Here is a 21,946-nt window from a genome sequence, read left to right as displayed (position 1 = left end):
CTCCACAGTCAAATGAATGTTGACACTGTCACATGCTGTGAGCAGGAGCAGTGTAATTCTGCAAGGACTGTCAGTGACCTGCTTAAAGTTGATACTCAGGAGACTTTGGCTGGCTGGGAGGGTAAGGTTGACTGATTACTCAAGTAAACACCTCTCTACTTTCTGTTCCACACATCTTGCTAAAATCCCTATAGAGAGGGACCCACCTGTCTTGGCCCAAGGCGAGAGCTGTTAAGGTCGAGACCACTGTCCCCAGGCCCCCAGTGATTGTCCACCAGGGATTCTGGATCAGCAGCCCTATGAAGATGATGAGGCCGCTGAGAGGATTGTTGATGAACATCACCTGAGCGGTCCCTCTCAGGACCCAGTCTATGAACTGGAGGGCAAGGTGCTTGTCTGAAAGAGACAGAGAGCGAGCCATCAGCAGGTCCAGCTTGGGCTGCTCTGCTGAACTGCTGGTTGGCATGGCAACCAAGGCAAACAGGAATGTGCAAGCCAGGACCCTTCCCATTCAGCCAGGCCAGGGGTCGGGGTGGAGGGGTGGGGGTAGAGGGGAGGCTGGTGCCCAGCCCAAATCTCTCAGTAGCCCAGCAATCATTCTGCAGTGGGTGGTAGTTTTTGCCATATAGACAGAGGCACCATGCTGAGAACAATTTAACGCTGTTCCAGCCACTGGCTTGGTTGGAAAAGAAGCCCCGGGAGCATTCCAAGGGAAATTTATTGGTCCAAAAGAAAGGGTGGGGAAGGTGGGGGGGTGGGGGCAGGAAATTCTTTTTTCTGTAGTGCTGGATGACTCAGTTAAGGGCTGGTATCTGAGCAGCAAAGAAAGTAGCCTGAAGAAAAGACACTAGGGAAGAAATTGTTGTAGCCCAGCTGTGAAAATCAGTACTGAGTCAGGGCCTGGAGGAGGCCAGGTATAGGAGAGGGGCGTACATTCTGCCTCATTTGCTGGTTTGGTTTCCATGACAACTGGTGCAGGTGTCGGGGCTAGTGGGAGTGAAGGGTGTGGCATTCCTTTCAGTGTTTAGTTCGAGAAGTTAAAAGGAAAGAATCCTGAAGCTTTGGGAAGGATGATACCAATATTTTCTTGGCACATAGCAGGCACATAATAAATGGCTGTGCAACAAGTGAATCGAGTGAAGGAATGATCATTCAGCTAGCTTGGGAAATGGCTTATATGTTGCTAATATGGTTGTCCTATATCTATTTCACATAGGAACGAGCAATTTGCAAAGAACTAAGATCAATGCATTTAATTCTGAAACCATGAGAATTCCAGGCCAGTAGGGTATATCATATCCCCTTGGAGTCAGCTTAGGGCTGAAGTTCCCCCAGCTGTGGACTCCAGCCCTGGGTGAGGTCCAGTCCTGGGCAGATCCACCCAGGGTGAGGGTGAATGAGTGAGGGAGAAGCTTTGGACCAAACCGGAGAGAGGGTTGTCTCTCTGGCCTGGCCTGGTCTGGCTGCCTCTCCCCAGGGTATTTTCCTACCTTTCAGCCAGATCCTGTACTCCTTCATGTCGCCCGTGAGGTAGCCCACTGCTTTGGAGAGGCAGATGCACCTTTGGCCTGCTGAGTCCCGATGGGCCACCCCGTCGTCTTTCCTTTTACTCCTTTCATTGAGCTTTTCGATCTTCACAATGTGACTGTCTTCATTGGAAGACCGGAGATCCTTTTAGGAGAAACCAACCAGACATCAAATGATACAGCTTTCTGAGAGCAGGGACATTTGGGGATAGAGGAGGGTGGCAGGTTTTTTGATAAAAATAAAGGATCATGAGACAAAGGGTGGAACACATGCCCATTGTCTGCGGCTGCATAGAGTGCCCCGTACAAGCCTGTTCTTCCCAGGACCATGCACCTTCTTCACAGCAGGATTTCTTCACCTTTGTGCCATGGATCTCTTTTGGCAGTTTAATGAAGCCCATGAGCTTCTTTTCAGAATAATGTTTGTAAATGCAAAGATCAGATAAATAGGACGGCAAACCAAGCCAATTATACTGAAATGCAGTTATAATCTTACTAAAAATTAAGATACACATGTATGCACAGCAGATCCAATACCTTCTGTAATTTCAAAGTAGTGATGAGTAAAGATATGGGACCTCCTCATCGCAAGTCAGGACAGCTCTGGAAGGCCATCCCAGCAGTCTTGAGTCCCTCTCTACTGCAGCAGTGGCCAGCCAGTCTACCTCTGTGCTACCACCGAGGATGCTAATGGCCTGCATTTCAACAAAGGCCTTCCCTTTGGAGACAGTAGGGTAGTTCAAGGGAGCAGGTTTAAGGGGAAAGATTTTAGAGACTGATTGAAAGACTGGTGAGTGAGTGTCTGTATTCTGTACTTGTCCTTAAAATCATGTCTCATGAAGAGCCACATTATCTAAGGCCAGGTAGGACCCACCATGGGTGTCACCATGTACTGACAGTGGCACTTCCTCAGTGTGCTAAGTTCACTGGGAAGGTGGGAAAGCGGCATCTTTTGCCCCCACTTTTCCCATCCCCTCCCTCCCAGGAAACATCCTAGGAGGGACACTTCTCACCTTTTCTTCAGGCATTTCCAGGAGGGGCAGAGCTGGGTGAGTATCCGGGGATGTCGAGGGCCAGCTCGGGCTGGTAAACTCTGCCTCGTAGAGTTTGTATCTGCTGGAAAGTGGCTCTGGCAGGAGAGGACTGCTGTGGGGGTCAGACATTCCTTCGGGTCACAGCCACTCTTCTATCGATGGACTAGACGGAAGGAAAGGGAAAGAGCTAGTGAGTCAGGACGGGGCCCAGAGGGACTTGGCTGAGGCTGGACTCAGACCTCAGGTCTGTCCTGGGGGTTGGACAGTGACACACGTGGGATCTACAGCTTGTGCTGTAGAGTTGAGGACATTTCTCTACCTCATTACCTTTCAAAATCCTCCCATTCTTCCGCGTCCAGAAGAATGTCCATTTGGCCGATGAAGATATCCCTGACCACTGAGTCAGAATGGAAGTCTCTCTTTTTCTCTTGATCACTGAGTGTTTTTTCTCTGCCTTTCATATTGCCTGCTGTGCCGTCCTATTGTGGTAGTTAGTGGTACACGTATGTTCCCCTTGATACGTACACACAGATCCAGTACTGATTGGAGGTGGGGGGTGTCTAAGAGAAACTCTTCCTGAATTTCTATGGAGGCTACATTGCTTACAACTGATCTCCAGTCTTCCTTCTCTTCCCTCTACCATTTCCAGCTCCTTCCCTCTTTCCCTTCCCTAGGAACAGTAGGAAGCACTGGTCTATTCTTCCATGAGCTGTGTGCATCCCAGCTGAAGGAGCTTCCCTTCCACATGGGGCTCCTGTCCCCGTACCACCAGGGTCAGGGCTTATGCCATGACTTGCTTTTGGAACATCCTTTGCCTGAGGTCCTCAGTTTCCTGGTTTTGTCTGGCTTCCCCTTGGTAGTGCTGTACTCTCTCCTTCCCATACAGCCATTTGTGCATTTCTTCTCTAGCCTCCTCCAGCTCAGTTATATCTTTTTATTTATTTATTTGAGAGGTGGTTTTGGACCTGCATGCGGTCTCCTCTCAGTATGACCTAGAGCTTTCCCCATTGCTCCGTGCTCCATGCTGCATCCCTTCAGTGTAGGACCGTCTCTCTTAGGACAGGGATCACAGATCCCTAACATGGGTACTACCATTCCGTATACTCATCATTCCAGACACCGCTCAAGGATTGCAGGATTCCCTTCAAAAGGGGATAAAGTCCCCTATCTAATTTTGCATTAGTTCCATTTCGCTAGGCTATTACCTCTCCTCCTCCTAATGAGAGGAATTCTTACTCTCCACAATTTCTTCTGAGCACCACTCACCTTGCTTGGGCAGAAACCCTTCTTCTTTGAGGCTTATCTCAAATGGCCATACCATCCTCTCCAACTGCCCACTGCTGCGTTACTGACTCTCTGGTCACTCTGTCATTCAGAGAAGACTTGAAGTGCTCCTACTAATCATCTTCATCCCCCTCCAGTAACTTTAAGCAGCTTCGATGTCCAGGCAGATAACTCATCATCCTGTTCTCTGGCTTCTCAGATCCTTGTCCTTCTCATCTCCAGTGAACCTTTTCATCTCCCCTTTTCAGCAACTGATTTCCACAGTCCCAGCATGGGCTTAATATCACACACACTGGAAATCTCAAAAGTCAGATCTCTCCTCTGGCCACTTCCTCTTGCACATTTGGCTCACCTGCTCAGGTGACCCCTCTGACAGCCCTTCAGCTCCCACAACCACCTGTCTTCCCTTCCCTCCTTGACCAACTTAACTTCATGGCCCCTTATGTTACTTCCTCCAACTCTCTTGCACCTGTCTCCCTCCCTCATGCTTGTATGGTGAAATTCCAGCCGGGATAAACCCAAATGCCTAACTTTTCCATGCTTTCACCAAACAACTGAACATGGCTAGAGAACAAGGGTAATAACCGAGTAGATTGCTTTCACTGTAAGTTGGATTGCTGTCCTCAGGTGAACACTAGGTGCTTCCCTTTTCTCTCTTTAGTCCAGCTCAGTCTGCTTTCTGCTATGGCTGCCTTTGCTGTGGTCTCTAAGGCCTCCATGGCAAGTCCACTTTCAGTCCCCATCCCACCAGGCTGCTCAGTGGTGTTCTGAGAGTTGATCACCCTCTTTGACACACTCTTTGGCCGTTATATCTGCTCCCCTCTCTGGTTGCTCCTTCACACTCTCTTTTGGCGGCTCTTCTTCGTGTAACAGGAGCATTTTGCAGACCCCTGTTCCGGGCCCTCTTCTCAGCCCTGGTGCTCCTACCCAGGTGACGTCAGCCCTCAGCATGGCTTCGTATTCCATCTCCCTGCCGATGACCCTCAAAACTCACATTTCCAGCCCAGTTTTGAGCAGTGGATTAACAGATTTAGTTGTCTACTTTACACTCACATATAGACGTTCCAAGTGCCTTAATTTGCCAAAACAACTCATCATGTTGCCTTCCCAAATCCTATCCTCCCTCACAGGTGACCACCTAGGAAAAGTCATCTTCCCCTTCCAAGCCATTCCTTCAGAAAACTCAGGAGTCACACTTAATGCTCCCTTCTTCTTACTCTCTAAATTTAACAATTCTGTCTCTAAAAAATATGCCTTCACGTTCATGGTCACCAGTTAGCCACCATCACCTCTTACCACATCTTCAATGACTTTCATTTGGATATCCCTACTTTTTCCCAGGTTTCTCCTCAAAGCCATGCCCCGCAGGGAAGAGTTGCCATATTAATCTCATGTTGGATCCCTGCTTAAAGCCCATCAATGCTTTCAGATGGAAAACTACCTCTTTGACAGGGTGTGCAAGGCTCTGAGCTGCCACTGTGCTTTAGTGAGTCCCTTGCTTTCTGGCTCCATGACTCCAGGCCCCATGCTGGCCTCCTTTTAGTACTTGTAAGGTGTTGAACACTTTCCACCTCAGGGCCTCTGCAAGTGCTGGTTCATTGGCATGAAGACCTTTCCCTCACTCTTCCTGGTCAACCCCTACACTTCTGCCAGGCTTTGTCTCAATGATCACTTGCTAAATAAACCCTCGCAGATCCACCCACCATGTTCTCCTGTCACATACTCTCATGGGACCAGGTATTTTTCCTTATAGCAGATTTGTATATTTATTTGTATGGTTTCTATCTTCCCACCAGAACTTAGGTTTCATGAGGACGGTGGCCTCCTCTGTTCTGTCTATTGCTTTGACCCCAGCTCCTAGCACAGTGTGTGGCATGTAGTAAGGGTTCAATAAATAAATATGGAAGGAAGAGGTGGGGGGGAGGAAGCGACTGTGAGCAAGGTTACAGGTGACTGATAGATAGGGAACACTTCTCTGCATAACTTTACAAATCTCTGTGGATCTCAGGGATCTCCAGTGGTTTCAGAACAGCGTGGGGCCACCCACCAGCCATGCATTTTCTGCAGGCAGAACCCCCTGTCATGTCTAGCACCGTTCTCATTCCCAGGAGGAGCTCATTAGACCACTGTGAATTTTTGTGTAGGTCTGCAAATGTCATTCAGATCTAACTAACCCTGATGCTGCCATAACTCCGGAATGGAGGCCTTTCCTTGTATTCTGACCCTGTAGGTAGGGTTTCAGTAAGGGGTGGGCACACTGCCATAGAGGGGGCATGCTGGAAAGGTTTAGGAGACAGTGAAATCCGACAAGCCCCAGAACCTGTTCCTCTCCAATGCGCTCTCTCCCTCTGGTGGCCAAGAGGTGATACAGCATCCCTGGCCCTTGGTAAAAATTTCCCTCCAAGCCAACCATATGAAAAGTAAGCAGGGGCAATCAGATATCTAGACACACAATCTGCATGACACTATACAACTGGATGAACTAGATATGTTCCGGAAAGGCCTTGTGTTAAATTCAGTGGCTATGAAATCTATTAAAAGTCTAGCTGAAAAGTGGTAATGATAAAGGTTTTTCCTAAACATATTTCATGGAATCTAAGATGTTATCAGCTGTAAGATTGATCACTATTTTATGTATCATAAAGAAAGAAGAAAATGCTTCCATTCATAATTTCAAGATGCATCCTGATTTTAGAAATGTTAAAATATGAAAATAATATACATCATATAATCAAGGAAATATAGTGTTCTTTTAAGTGGTGGGGCTGAAGTATACAGGTAGGAGTTGAGAATGGGTATACTCAGAAATTATTTCCTAACCGTAAGAATTTAAAGATTTTTATATTTCTTTTGATGAAAAAAAAATGTGTCTACTTTATAATCCCTGTAAGAACAGGGGCCATTACCTTGTTAATTTCTGCATTTATACCACCCAACAGAAAGCCTTACACCTAAAAATCCCTTTATTATTATTATTGCACAAGGGAAGTTCTTTCTAGGGTACTCTCCAAAAAGGTACTCCACCTTTGAGTCCCTTCTGTATGCAGACAATATTTCCATTTACAGATAAATCATGTCCTTGAAAAGCAAAATAGGAATTGTTTCTCATGTGTATGTTGCTCTCAGCATTTTCCAGAGCAAGCTCACCTCATTGTGACATTTGCAGGACCCAGAAAATGAGCAGTTTGCTGCAGAGTCAAGGTTAGACCCAGTTCCCCACTGCGCTCTCCATTACTCTGACTGCCTGGCTGGGCCATGCACAGCCGAGTGGCTGGCCCTTGAGCGCCTGGGTCCAGGGCCTCAGCCCGCTGTTGTGTTTCTCAATCCTATGTATCCTCTGCAGGAACAGGGCCTTGCACCTCCTCTAGGGAATACAGCGTTCCTTTGCCACGGGAATGTTTACTCTGTTACAACGGGGAATTTTGGCTTTGGGGTAGGGGGCGAGACATGCAGCACCAATGGCCCTGTGGAGAGCAAGTCTCCGCATCCGGAAGGAGCACAGGCTGTGAGGTGGGGCTGCTCCTGCCTCCCTGCTCTGCCACTCGGGGCCGCGTGGGCCTCCATGTCTCCGAAGGGCAACGTAGGCTTCTCAGGACAGTGAAATTGCTGACTTGGTTCCTGGCACATAGTAGGCGCTTAGTGATCTTACTTTTCCCTCTTCTCGTGCTCCCAAATTGAAGGGAGAGAGGGTGGGAGCAGCCAGATGAAGTACAAGCTGGCTGGTGTGAAACGGAACAGCTTTCAAAAGTTTCCATAAGGCGTCGCCACTTGTTAGAACTGGATGTGAAATCCCTGCCCGAGCCACGTCCGGGCTGAGGGCCTCAGCCCGTTCCCAGCTCAGCTCAGCGCCAGTCCATTAAACCTGCTTCCAAGAACACATAATGATCTGCTTGGCGCACTCAGACTCTCCTTGGCTGCCCACACCTCCTCTTCTCCTTCAGAAATATGGACAGAGAGGCTGTTTGGATCAGTCCCACGTCTCTCCAAAAACCAGGCCTCAAATGTCTGGCAAGGGGCTCCCAAAACAGACCAGCTCCTCCATCCTCTTTGTAAGAACCCTCCTTGTTGAATATCTACCGTTCGCCTGTGGGCTACCCTGGAGGGATCATTGCTGGAAGGCCCAGTCCTTGCCTGCAAAGGGCTCACATTCGAGTGCCCAGGAGAAGCAGTGAGCAGGCACTGTGTCCTGAGCAGGAGGCACAAGGGCAGAGGGCAAGAGGGCGGTGCAGAGAGCACAGAGCGGCTGCCCTGCCCTCCCAGCCCTGGGGAGACTGGGCTCAGCTTCCATGTCAGGACTTGGCTAAGCAGGTGAGAAAGAGGAGCACACTCCAGAGAAATGCCTGAGAAAATACATGGTTTGGGCAAGCAAGTCCCAGCATGGACTCTGCTACAGCATGGGAGAGATGTCAGCAGGCAATCAAAGACAAAACTAGGGTGTGAGAACCAGACTGTCAGGAGTCCTTAGTGTCTAGGTTTGGACCCAAATTCTTCCAATGGTTAGAAAAACTGTGGCTCCTGCTCTATTGTACTAATTTTGAAATTCTTTTCCTGATTATTTTCTCCTAAAGATCATCCATCTCCAGTAGAATTGCAGAAACACGCCCATGCCCAGTGAAGAGGGGCTGTGCCTATTTCGTATGCTCCTGCTGCCCTGGGATGTAAGGGGCCCATGTTCAAAGGGATTTCTTGAGTTGTTGGTGTGAATTAGTGCAGAGTCAAAGCTCTCTCCCTATCCCTAGTCTCTTGGGCTTAAGTATACCAGTCCCCTGGTCATCTGGGGATGAATCTCAAATGGCCCCATTTACTACTTCTTTTTTTTTTTTTTTTTTTTTTTTTTTTTGAGACAGAGTTTCGCTCTTGTCACCCAGCTTGGAGTGCAATGGTGCAATCTCGGCTCACTACAACCTCCTCCTCCCAGGTTCAAGCAATTCTCCTGTCTCAGCCTCCCGAGTAGCTGGGATTACAGGCGCCTGCCACCACGCCTGGCTAATTTTTGTATTTTTTGTAGATACGGGGTTTCACCATGTTGGCCAGGCTGGTCCTGAACTCCTAACCTCAGGTAATCCACTGGCCTGGGCCTCCCAAAGTGCTGGGATTACAGACGTGAGCCATTGTGCCTGGCCTTACTTCATCTTCTAACCAACTCAGTTATTGAGACCACAGCAGCTCTGGAGAAGTAAAAGTGATTAGCAGGTTCTCCAGAATATTAGTTGGATTGATATATTTTGCCTAAGACCTTGCAATTGATGCAAGGAGAGTTTCCATAAATTTCTACAACCTTAGAACCAAGAGGGATGTCCTCTCTGAAATGATGAAGGAATCCATTCTTTAACACCTCTGGATACCTAGCTTCTCCTGGCTGGGGTCCCTTTCCCATGAGGCAGGTTGGTCTTGTTGAGAACAGCCCTGCTTACTAGAAACCCTTGTATCTGTGGAGCTGACATCAAGTCCCTGGGACTTTTTCTCTTTGCTGTTTCCAGTTCTGTCCATTATACCTGCACAGGATACAGGGACTCCTTTTCCCACCTAAGAGCACTTCAGAGGTTGATCCTAAGCCTTCATTTTTCTAGGGCAGTCTGCTTGATTGTCCTTCACTCTGGCTCACCAAACACAACCCCAGACTCTCTGCCATCTTGCCACCAGGATCTCAGTGACAGCATCATTCTGAAAGGACCTTGCTGAGTGAGTCAGGCTGGGTCCCTGGGAGCACTGGCTTCACTCATCCCTGAGTTGGTAGACTCTGAAGGTGAAAAATCAGGTGTGTGGGGCTAGGTGGATGTTTGGTCAGGCTGCCAGAATGGGGACAGATGAGGCCCCTGGACTGGTGGATCACACATCAGGGAGATCAGGGAGGGGAGGAATCCAGGAGACACCTGGGCACTAAGAAGACAAGGCAGGTAAACAGTCCAGTAGCTGGGCTGAGAGGTGCCTTACTCAGGGCTGGGTTGTATAAGAGCCTGGCTGAGTGCCGGCTTTTATTAGGGGTGGCTCAGAGTTTTCTTGGCAGCTCCAAGTTAGTAAGTCTGATCTGGGCTGAGAGGAGACTGACTCACTGGGGCCAGCGGGTCAGGCTGGGTGGGGCAGGAGTCAGAGGCAGCACCACCTCCTCTGGGTCCTCTGAGGACTGGCTGGGGTTAGAGATGGCTGGTGGCCAGTGGGCCAGGGGCTTTATCTTTCTGGTTTCTGCTGCAGGGCCAGGGCTGGGGTTCTGCAGCTGAGAATCTAACCAGAGCCTGGCAGGGGAATTCTGGCCTCCAGCAGAAAAGCTCTGAGGAGCCTGCAGTGGCTGTGAGATGAGGTGGGGGAGAGAGCAGACCACTTGACCTCTTTTGATGCTCCTCCTTAGCTTGTGTTTGGAAGAATCTCATAGGAGATCGTCACACCCTTCTTATGTGACACTTTTTTCTTTGTTTTAGATGGAGTCTCCACTGTTGCCCAGGCTAGAGTGCAGTGGCGCAATCTCGGCTCCCTGCAACCTCCACCTCCCGGGTTCAAGCAATTCTCCTGCCTCAGCCTCCTTAGTAGCTGGGACTACCGGCGCACACCACCATGCCCAGCCAATTTTTTGTATTTTAGTAGAGACGGGGTTTCATCATGTTGCCCAGACTGGTCTCAGACTCCTGAGCTCAGGCAATCCGCCCACCTTGGTCTTTCAAAGTGCTAGGATTACAGGTGTGAGCCACTGCACCCGGTCCTTATGTGACACTTCTAAAGTGGGGTGACCCTTCAATGTTCCACATATTGAGCCCTCTCATCCCATGAATAAATGGCAATTTATTTATTGCCTCTTGCATTCCATCAGTTGCAATTATTCAGCCATCGAGTTCTCCTTCAGAGCCCTCAGTCTGGATCAGCCCATTATCTCCCTTTAAGCCAGGCCCTCCCCAACGCAGGTCACCTTCTAGCTGATTTCCCTCACTTCAGTCTCCCCAGTTTTTCTCCACCTTGCCACTGGTGATGGGTAAATTATCTTAAAACATGACTTGGTCGTGCCACTGCTCAAAAACCTTCTGAGGTGCTCCATGTCTGAGTGCTTCGCTCCTGAAACTGGGCATGAAACTCTGAGCCAGAGTAGTCAATGCCCAGGGCACTGAGAAGCACAGTTTTCTGGAATGCTGATTGAGCTTGATATGAACTAATATAGAATAATAGTTGTATATTTAAGCAAACATGGTTTATAAAATAGTCAAATGCAACTCTTTATATTATTAAAATAAAATATAAAGGGAAGAAATGTAGAGTCTGCAGGTGGCTGCTTCAGGCTGTGCCCACCTATTACGTAGGGGTAATGTGTCAATTCTCCCATCAGTTGAGGCTACTTAGGGGGAGAAGTTAAAAAGCTCTGAAGATAGCAACTGTTCTCAATCTCCCTCGGTTCTACCCAGGGGTGCTCCACTTGTGCCCAAGACAATTTTCAGCTTCTCTGCAGTGTGTGCCACTGTTCTGGGCAGGTGGCCTCCTGAGGTCCCACAGCTACCTCCAATTCAGTTCCACATGCACGAATATTGATCTCCTTTACTCACACACATCCTGCTCACACACCCACCCCTAACATGGCCATGGTGCCTTCCTGGCCTCTTAGGAGCATGGTGACCTCTGCTCTGGCTTGTGTGGTGGACTATTTCACAATGTAGTAGTCTCTCTCTCTCCCTCTCTCTCTCTCTCTCTCTCTCACACACACACACACACACATACACCCCTACACATACACACATGCACACATACTTATATACACAAGCTGCCCCGAGGTGGCTCTAGGTAGTTAATTTTAGTGTTATTAGACAGTGGTGGCACAGTGGAGACAGAATACCTGGATTCAAATCCTGGCTCCCCCACTGCAATAGTCCATTCTCATACTGCTATAAAGAACTACCTGAGAGTGGGTGATTTATTAGAAAAAAAAAAAAAAGAAATTTAATTGACTCACACTTCCACATTGCTGGGGAGGCCTCAGGAAACTTACAGTCATGGTGGAAGGCGAAGGGGAAGCAAACTTGGACCTTCTCAAATGGCGGCAGAAGAGAGAGATGGTGTGGAGCAGGAACTTGCCAAACACTTATAAAACCATCAGATCTTGTGAGAATTCACTCACTATCACGAGAACAGCATGGGGGAAACCGCTCCCATGATCCAGTCACCTTGCCCTGGGTCCTGCCCTCAACATATGGGGATTACTGGGATTACAATTTGAGATGATATTCAGGTGTGGACACAGAGCCAAACCATATCATTCTGCCCCTGGCCCCTCCCAGATATTATGTTCTTTATACATTTCAAAACAAAATTGTGCCTTAGCAACAGTCCCCCAAAGTCTTAACTTATTCCAGTATTAACTTGAAAGTCAAAGTCCAAAGTTTCATCTGAGGCAAGGCAAGTCCCTTCCACCTATGAGCCAGTAAAATCAAAAGCAAATGGCCGGGTGCGGCGGCCCACGCCTGTAATCCCAGCACTTTGAGAGGCCGAGTCGGGTGGATCACTTGACGTCAGAAGTTCGAGACCAGCCTGGCCAATGTGGTGAAACCCTGTCTCTACTAAAAATACAAAAATTAGCAGGGTGTGGTGGCACACACTTGTAGTCCTAGCTACTGGGAGGCTGAGACAGAAGAATCTCTTGAACCTGGGAGGTGGAGGTTGCAGTGAGCCAAGATAGTGCCAATGTACTCCAGCCTGGGTGACAGAGCAAACTGTGTCTCAAAAAAAAAAAAAAAAAAAAAAGCAAGTTAGTTACTTCCAAGATACAGTGGGGGTGCAGGAGGCATTGGATAAATGCTCCCATTTCAAATGGGAGAAATTGGCCAAAACAAAGGGCTACAGGCCCCACGCAAGTCCAAAATCCAGTGGTGCAGTCATTAAATCTTAAATCTCAAAAATAATCTCCTTTGACTCCATGTCTCATATCCAGGTCATGCTGATGCAAGAGGTGGGCTCCCACAGACTCAGGCAGCTCTGCTTCTGTGGCTTTGCAGGGTATAGCTCTCCTCCTGCTGCTTTCGCAGGCTGGTGTTGAGTGTCTGTGGCTCTTCCAGGTGCAGAGTGCAAGCTGACAGTGGATTTACCATTCTGGGGTCTGGAGTACGGTGGTCCTCTTCTCACAGCTCCACTAGGCAGTCCTCCAGTGGGGACTCTGTGTGGGGGCTCCAACTTCACATTTCCCTTCTGCACTGCCCTAGCAGAGGTTCTCTATGAGGTCTCTACCCCTGCAGCAAACTTTTGCCTGGACATCCTGGCGTTTCATACATCCTCTGAAATCTAAGTGGAGGTTCCCAAACCTCAATTCTTGACTTCTGTGCACCTGCAGGCTCAACACCACATGGAAGCCGCCATGGGTTGAGGCTTGCACCCTCTGAAGCAATGGCCTGAACTGTACACTGGCCCCTTTTAGCCATGGCTGGGATGCAGGGTACCAAGTCCCGAGGCTGCATAGGGCAGTAGTGGGGCCCTGGACCAGCCCATTGTTTTTCCTCCTAGGCCTCTGGGCCCAGGATGGTAGGGTTGCTGCAAAGTTCTCTGACATGCCCTGGAGTAATCTTCCCCATTGTCTTGGCGATTAACATTTGGCTTCTGGTTAGACAAATTTCTGCAGCCAGCTTGAATTTCTCCCCAGAAAATGAGTTTTTCTTTCCATCACATCGTCAGGCTGCAAATTTTCCCAACTTTTATGCTCTACTTCTCTTTTAAACATAAGTTCCAATTTCAAACAATCTCTCTGTAAATGCATAAAATTGAATCCTTTTAAGAGCACCGAGGTCACCTCTTGAATGCTTTGCTGCTTAGAAATTTCTTCTGCCAGATATCCTAAATCGTCTCTCTCAAGTTCAAAGTTCCACAGATCTCTAGGGAGGTGGCAAAATGCCACCAGTCTCTTTGCTAAAGCATAGCAAGAGTGACCTTTACTCCAGTTCCCAACAAGTTCCTCATCTCCATTTGAGACCACCTCTGCCTGGACTTCACTGTTCATATCACTATCAGCATTTTGGTCAAAATCATTCAGCAAGTCTTTAGGAAGTTCCAAACTTTCCCACATCTTTCTATCTATCTTCCTCCGAGCTCTCCAAACTGTTCCAACCTCTGCCTGTTACCCAGTTCCCTACTTGCTTCCACATTTTCAAGTATCTTTATAGCACTGTCCCACTATCTTGGTACCAATTTACTGTATTAGTCTGTTTTCATACTGTTATAAAAACTGCTGGCCAGGCGCAGTGGCTCACACCTGTAATCCCAGCACTTTGGGAGGCTGAGGCGGGCGGATCACGAGGTCAGGAGATCAAGACCACGGTGAAACCCCATCTCTACTAAAAATACAAAAAATTAGCTGGGCATGGTGGCGGGCGCCTGTAGTCCCAGCTACTCGGGAGGCTGAGGCAGGAGAATTGTGTGGACCTGGGAGGCGGAGCTTGCAGTGAGCCGAGATTGCGCTACTGCACTCCAGCCTGGGCGACAGAGTGAGACTGTCTCAAAAAACAACAACAAAAAAAAACTGCCAAAGACTGGGTAATTTATAAAGGAAAGAGGTTTAATTGACTCACATTTCCACAATGCTGGGGAGACCTGAGGAAACTTACAGTCATGGCAGAAGAAGGGGAAGCAAACTTGGACCTTGTCACATAGCAGCAGGAGAGAGAGAGTGTGTGAGAAGGAGGAACTTGCCAAACACTTATAAAACTATCAGACCTTGTGAAAACTCACTATCATGAGAACAGCATAGGGAAGCTGCCCCCATGATCCAGTCACCTCCTACTGGGTCCGACTTTGACACATGGGGAATATGAGGATTAAAATTCCAAACGATATTTGGGTGGGGACACAGAGCCAAACCCTACCACCCACCTACTTAGCTGTGCATCCTTGGGGAAGCCCCACAACCTCTCTGTGTCTTGGTTTTCTCATCCCATCTGTGAGGTGAGGACAATAATAGTGCCTACCTCATAAGATTGTTTCAGAAGAAATAATGCATGCAAGTTGCTTAGTGCAGTGCCTAGCACATATTAAGTAGCTAATAAACATTAGCGATTTTAATTGTTCATGCTTATGCTGTGAGTGATGTATTCATGTGGGTGTGTCTGAGCATCTTCAGGGCCATTGTCCAAGAACCCCAATCAAAAGTGAATTCAGGCAGTAGAGAGATGGGTAAGGAGTTTAAATGCTATTCTGCATGTTCTAAGAAGTTAACCTTGCCATGTTGGAATGTCATGGGCACATAATATTCTGACCAGCTGATTTGCTTATCTTGCCAGCCCGCAGAGTCTGAGCCATCCTTGCTCTTTCCCACTGAGCTCTGGGCAGTTCTCTCTGTTGACCTTGGGCTGGAAGATCTCTGAGTAAACACCTTAAATGGAGGCTGGGAGCAGCAGCAACTGCTTGAGAGCTCTTTATCTTTCCTTTTCCAGGCCTCAGCTATCTGTCATTGCTGTTTATGTATATGTCTCATCTCTAGGAGACAGCCAGGAGCCCCTTATCGGCAATTTCCTTGTTTTCTTGAAGTATAGCATCTTGTACACAATAGGTGCTCAATAAATATTTGATGAATGAGTGAAGTATTCACTGAAGATTGCAGACTATGAACTTTACAAATTCTGTACTGTTTGAAGTCACCATGCACATGGTATTTTATATGTTACAAAGCACTTTCCTTCCTCAAACTGAATTTATTTCCTCAATCAATCTCATGATGGGGTGTAAGCTATAGATGGTGCTCTTCTTCTTGTTTTGCAGGGTCAGTGATGTGAGGGTACCTGCTTCATGGGCCACACAGTGAGTTGACACAGGAGCTAAGACTGTCTCAGCCTTCTTTGCTCAACAGCATTCCCAACCTCTTTGTGTTGGGCCCTGGACTCTTCCCTAAGGTTCTCTCCCTCATCCAATGACTGTGGGCATGTGAGTCCTTAATTCTTCTCCCTAGAGCTGGGCCTTATGTAGCTTAAGCTTTTTGTCTTTGGATTCAATGTGTATAAACACACGTCTCCTTTCAGGTGCTGTGCCATGGTGTGAAGCTGGGTCTTCCTTTGTGCAAGCTGGGCTGGTATGTAGACCTTCTCCTTCCTTTTGGTGAGGATGCACTTCTCCTGCACTTGACCTCTGTAAGGGCTCAGTGTGGCATGTCCTTTAGGCCCTTGAGCTACCTTCTTCCTTTTCAACAGAACCTTGATCCCCTTTTCCTGCACAGATGTTTATTTTCTAAGAACAACATGGCTTTGGAGTCAAGAGGAAGGGCTGTCCCTGGGAGGGGGTAGAAATCGGGACAGATACCATCAGATGCTGTCCTAAGAGCTTCTTATTCAGGTAAAGCTCGGAGTCAGATGACTATTAAAGGTATTCCTGGTGGGGAAAAGGATAACTTGCAGTCAGAATGGGGGTGTTTGGAATGGGAGGAGGCTGGTGTTTGGTGAGGGTAGGGAAAATGCTTAATGGGCTGGTGTTGAATCTCAGGTCTTCTTAAGCACCAGCTGATGGGCCCTAGTTCTCCTAGTGGAGCACCTGGGTGTGCCGATCCTCTGTGCCTTACGTGGTGTTTCTCATCCTGGCAAAATGTGTTTTAGGGTCATCGCAGGCAGTAAACCTACACTCCTTTAAAACTGGCTTTCAGCACACATTTTCTGTACAAGAAGACCCTAAGTCATGCTTTTATCCTGACTTGGTGGAAGACTGACAGGTAGTAGGTGGTGATGCTGCCACCTCATTGGTGATCTGTGGGTGTTGGGGAAGACCAGGGTTAGAGCAAAACAAACCTCTAGGTGAAAGAAGACCATCAATGGATGTGTGTGGCCACACTAGACCAGTCTGGAATTCCATGGGGTGTTGGAATTACAGAGTTTTGCAAAGCCTACCATTCCCAACATATGCCTCCTGCTGGTCTATTGACAAGAGCTGAAACCTACCAGGAGACAGGGGTTCCTTTTAGTTCAGTTACAGCCTTGTTTCTAGAATGCCTTCCCCTTCCCTTTCAGCTTCAGTGTTCAGTGGATGTGAACACTCCTTCCTTGAAGCCCTGAGAACTGAGATCCTCAATCTTGACAGCACACAGTCATCTTTATCTAGGGACTTTAAAAAATGCTGATGACCGGGTCCCTTCCCCAGAGATTCTGACTTAATTGGTGTAACCCGGGCACTGGAATTTTTAAAAGCTCCCTAGGTAATGGTAATGTTCAGCCAGGATTGAGAAACCCTGACCTAGATCTTTCTGTCTATGCTCTTTCTGCACACATTTTATGCCCTTGCTACTCCAGGTGAATGAGGGTTCAGCATCAGCTTCACCTGGGAGCTTGTTAGAAATGCAGGCTCTCAGCCCCACCCCCATAACAGAATCTGTATTTTGAATAACACCTTAGGTGATTCCTGGGCTCACTCAGGTCTGCACACAGGCTTCTCAGGGGTGTAATGGGGCAGTGCTGGGGTGCAGACAGCTATAAGAAGGGAGAGGGGATGGTGGGAGAGGGGCTGGAAACTATCTTCATTTATTTTACAATTTTTGCTTAGTGGTCAAAGCATTCAGTAAGCAAGCAAAATCAGATTAGATTTAGCAACAGCAAAACCAACTAAACAAAAACTAGATTTATGACTTTAATTAAATGCCATTTGCATCCTGCATCTCCAGATGAAAGGAAATGGCAAGCACCTCAGTCTTTTTCAGCTTGTGTCTTGGCCAGTGGAATTTAAATCACTGCTTCCTAAGCAGCCTGCTCAGGGTTGAAGCAATGGCATGCTCCTGAGGAATCTAGTTATAGGTGGTACACAATTTCAGAAATAAAAGTGTATCACTTTTGGAAATGGAGTCTTGCTCAGTTACTGAAATAGCTAAATGAAATGCTCACCTTTTCTTTGTAAACTCACACAAGAGAATAGAGAGGAGAGACAGATCGGTTATTGATTTGCCCAACCCTGATGGGAACAGAAGCATGGGCCCTCTGGACTTAGGTTGAGGTGAACCAAACTTAGGAGGCTTTAATTGTGGTACCCTCATGGAGTCTTGGTATAAACTCCAATGAGGAATGCTGGCAGTGGGTGGTGGATGCCTTAATGGAGAGCTCTAGTAAAAACCATAAGTAGTTGAATAATAACTGTGCATTACCAAAGAAGAAAAGACATAAAAAGCCTCACCTGGAGTGGAAAGGGACATTTTGTGGAGGTAGTGAGAAGGGAAATAATGTAGTTATGATTGGCACAAAGGAATGAAAGAGTGAAAGGATTGGGAAGTTTTAGATAGATACAAGAAAGAAAGGAAGGAGAATAAGGAGAAAATGAGGTAAAGGAGGAGAGGAGAGAAAATGAAGCCACAGTGCAGGAGCAGTAGGTGTGATGGCAGGAAGGGATGTGCCAAGAAGGAAGCCAAACAAGCTTAAAGAGGAGATGGGAGCAGGGAGACAGGGAGACAGATGGATGCTCCTGAGCCATTTGTCCCTACTCTGAAGGGGGCAACAGCCTGTGAGCCTCCAAAGACTCCCTGGTGGGGCTTCTTCCCCTCCTCCCAGAATCCTGTGTAGGATGAAGCAACAATCTTCCCTGAGAAGCAACACTAGGGCTCTTCTTTTCCATTGCCCTGTGGCTCCTGGCAAACCAGCTAGACTTTGAAATAGACATCCTCTGGACCAGCTACCCAAGGAGAAAATGCAGAGGGGACCTGGCATGAAGGAAGAACTTTGCAAATTCCAGTTTTATTCCATGCCCCCCTCACGCCTAACCAGATTTACAAAATGAGCTTTTATTACATTCCCAAAGAAGCTACTTCCCAAAGAAGCTACTTAGAGTTGCATTAGTTGAGCATTAAGGGATGTGTGCATGCTGGAAGTGGCTGGAAGGCATTTGCCAAGATGCTTGTTGTCTAAATCCTCTGAAGCTTGACTGAGGTAATGGGACAGATAAGTTGGTTATATTTAAACAGCCAAAACTCTGAAAAGATGGAATTTGTCTGGACATCACTGGAAAGTAAATTGAGCTTGTTGTGAAATCTCTGAAGATATGTTTTCTAAAAGGAGGGTGAGTGTTGATGAGCAAAACGCACTGGGACGGTCATAGCAGTTGGAACAAAAAGAGCATGGACCCAAGAGCCAAATTGCAGCTCTTCTACTTACTCCGGAGCCATGTTGGGCACAGAATCCTCCTAATCCATGAGGCAGGGATGGTGAGAACTGCCTTGTAAGGCAACACACAGAGGGCCCAGTGTACTGTATATAGTGGGTATCAACAAGTGTCAGTTTTCACCTCTCTCCTCCCATCTTTTCTGGGGTTGTTCACAAGTGCTAAAGACTCCAACCATCAGGGATTTAATGAGAGTGGATCTGCTGAAGTAAATATTTGGAAGGTTAATCTTTCTAAAGCACCGATTTCTCTGTAGCACATCCTGTACCAGATAGTGTTCATTCAAAAGCATTTGGTGAGCACCTATTATGTACCAGTCACAGGGGATTCAACAGTGAACAAGAAAAAATTCATCGTACTCTAACGGAAACCAGAAAGTAACTGTTAATGCCCAGGAATGGGGTCATAGCAGTTCCCACTGTAGGGTAGGAGTAGAGAATGGAGGCATTGGAGAGAATCTTTTGGTTGTTTCAAGGACTGAGAGGCACTCTTGTGTCACTTGCTCTGGGGGAAACTACTGCCATGTTATGACAACACACAAGCAACCTTATGGAGTTCCTTACAGGGGAACTGAGAGCTCTTGTCATCAACTTGCCAGTCATGTAAGTGAGCAACTTTGAGAGTGGATCTTCCAGCCCCAGTCAAGCCTTCAGGTGACAGCAGCCCTGACTGACATCTTGACTGCAGTCTCATTAGAGAGCCTCAGCCAGAAAAACCCAGTTACGCTCCTCCTGGATTCCTGTCCAGAGACATTAAGAAGATAATAAGTGTTTATCATTTTATGTTGCTAAGTTTGGGCAATTTGTCACACCTGGGGCAATTTGTCACACCTTGATAGATAATGAATACATTAGCCATTAATAGCTCTTTAAGGATCAGATAAGGTGGTCTCCTAGCAGGAACCCAAAAAAGGTATACTTTTTATGGAGGAAAAGGTTCTTGGTGAAAGGAAGTAACTAATATTTGCTGAGTACCAACTATGTGGTAGGTACTGGTACCTATGTTATCTTATTTAATCCTTCCTAGCAACCATGTAGAATCATGTAGAGAGCACTTGCCTATAAATTTGGAGGTAGTCTGCTGACAAAATGGGATGACAGACCATGTAAGAAAGATCTGTTGGTTTCACAGTTTTGCAGGAAGTTAGTTTCCTATTGGTTGAGTCTTATGGGGCATAAATATCTCTAGGGGAAAAAACCCTGACTGGGGATTGGTTTTGAAGACACAACCCACTAATTGAAGAATTACATACCAAACCCTCTGGCTACCCCTTGGGGACATACCCAAGAAGTACTTAACCAACATTGCCTTCAGCGAGATTGAATGCAGAGACAACATTTAAATGCATGAAAAAAAAAATCAGAAAGCAAAGTAAGAAAATATTAAAACAGTCGAAGTGTTCCATCATTTAATTATTTGTCTATCCTTAGCAAGAACCTCTCATTTGCAATGTCTGTAGCCTTGAGGATGGGAAATACATGATTCCTGCCCTCCAGGAACTGAGGGATGATCAGACACATAAAAACAACGTAGGATGTATTATGTGGAAAATTCCTGTGGCGGAACCTGAGCCTGGCTTGCTCAGTCCTCCTCCTAGTGTACCTTACTATACCCAAGAGGCTAGATAACTAAAAATTAGATTTCTTAGCATTCCTTGCAGCCAGTGTTTTTTTTTTTTGTTTTTGTTTTGTTTTTTTTTTTTTAATTAGACTTTGTCAGTTATAGGCATTTAGGTAAAATTTAGAAGGTGAGAGTGAAACAAAAGATTTTTTCCTGCTCTTTTTGGCTATTTTCTGATGAAAGTAAGGTCATGGGCATATGTTTTCTTGCCATTCAGTGCTCAGCCACCAGCTTTACGGGGTTTGAGAAGCAGTAACTACAGTGGCATCGTGATTGTGGCTGACTGATTCCTAGAATACAGTGGTGGGTTCTTGAATGCAATAGTTTCAGTGGTGGCCTTGGAGGTAGTGGCTCTTATGGTAGATCAGTTTTGCGGAGTTCCAGGAGTAATTTCCGACCCACCTCTAGAGCTCCCTCCCGCAACCCTGCCCCAAATTTTGTAAGCCCTTATATCTCTCTATTAAATCTTTTTCTGCTTAAAATACCTGTAGTGATTTCTGTTTCCTATGCTGAACTCTCATTGATGGATGCCATAAGAAAGGAACCAGATAGTGTTACATGAGATTGGGGCAGGGGAGAGGAGGGGAGGGATGGAATAATTAGAAAGGAATTTTTGGAGGAGGTAACTTTTTAGCATAAAGGAGTAAGGATTTCAAATAGCCCAGGAGAGATGAGGGTTCCCTGGTGGGAGTGATTAAAAGGGGCTGTTTCTCCTTCCCCCAACTTGATACTTCCTCATCACCTCCCCGCCTCCAGCTGGATGGGTTATGGTTTTTATTAAAGTCTGGACTTGAATAGTTACTTGGAGTTTCTGTTTGTTGTCAGTGGGAAATGTGTTATTTCAGTATGGAACTCAATACCCCGAAAACAGATTTTCATGTAGTGGTCTCATGGATCCTGCAAAGATAAATGTACCTGGAAAAGGCAGTGCATTTCCTCTCCTGTAGCCTTCCTTCATCACCCTTCTGGAGACTGCAGGCTGCTGTTCCATGCTAGGCTCCTGATAACCTATCTTTCTGGGAGAGGATAAAATGGAGGGACCAGGTGTTCTCTGACATGGCAAATCAGAAGAAAAATCATTGCATTGGGAGTGAGGAGACCTGGGATCTAAATTTAGCTCTGCTGCCTACCAGCTGTTTAACCTTGGTCAAGTTTAATTAATAACCAAATCTTTAATATTTTGTGATTCTGCCCACTTCTCTCCAGTTTCAAGGCTGCAACCTTAACTCAGACCATTATTATTTCTCCTGTTATCTGTGCATCCTCCACAGTCCATTCTTCTTACCGCAATCAGAATAATGATCTAATCATTGAATCCCATCACCTCTCATTTAAGACTCTTTAATGCTTCTTTGTGCCCCCGGGAGGTCAAAAGTCCTGGCAGAACATAAAGTCTGATTTGTGTCAGTG

At 46.9% G+C, this 21,946-nt stretch overlaps 1 protein-coding gene and 1 long non-coding RNA gene across 7 annotated transcripts in view; one reads left to right on the top strand and one right to left on the bottom strand.

Annotated features, from left to right (window-relative positions):
• LOC105372093 (uncharacterized) overlaps positions 1 to 21,018 on the top strand; it is a 176,501-nt gene extending 155,483 nt beyond the window's left edge. The window contains exons 9-10 of the long non-coding RNA XR_935423.3: positions 15,557 to 15,718; positions 15,814 to 21,018. This is a non-coding gene — a long non-coding RNA (uncharacterized LOC105372093). The remainder of the gene's footprint in view (positions 1 to 15,556; positions 15,719 to 15,813) is intronic.
• The window catches only part of SLC14A2 (solute carrier family 14 member 2), a 515,726-nt gene that overhangs the window by 56,335 nt on the left and 437,445 nt on the right, over positions 1 to 21,946 (bottom strand). For 5 of the 6 annotated variants that reach the window (NM_001371319.1, XM_024451270.2, XM_017026016.3 and 2 more), the window contains 3 exons: positions 2,540 to 2,723; positions 1,491 to 1,671; positions 207 to 396 (listed from right to left, as the gene is read on the bottom strand). In NM_001371319.1, coding sequence (NP_001358248.1) covers positions 207 to 396; positions 1,491 to 1,671; positions 2,540 to 2,689 — 521 coding nt within the window. In that variant the 5' untranslated portion in view covers positions 2,690 to 2,723. Of the gene's footprint in view, positions 1 to 206; positions 397 to 1,490; positions 1,672 to 2,539; positions 2,724 to 11,771; positions 11,879 to 21,946 lie in introns of those variants that run through there. The other variant, NM_007163.4, reaches the window with a different exon arrangement.

The sequence above is a fragment of the Homo sapiens genome, chromosome 18 (genome assembly GCF_000001405.40).
Source record: "Homo sapiens chromosome 18, GRCh38.p14 Primary Assembly".
Classification (NCBI taxonomy): Eukaryota; Metazoa; Chordata; class Mammalia; order Primates; family Hominidae; genus Homo; species Homo sapiens.
Note: the sequence above shows the minus strand (reverse complement) of the source record. Positions and strands in the feature narration are given on the sequence as shown.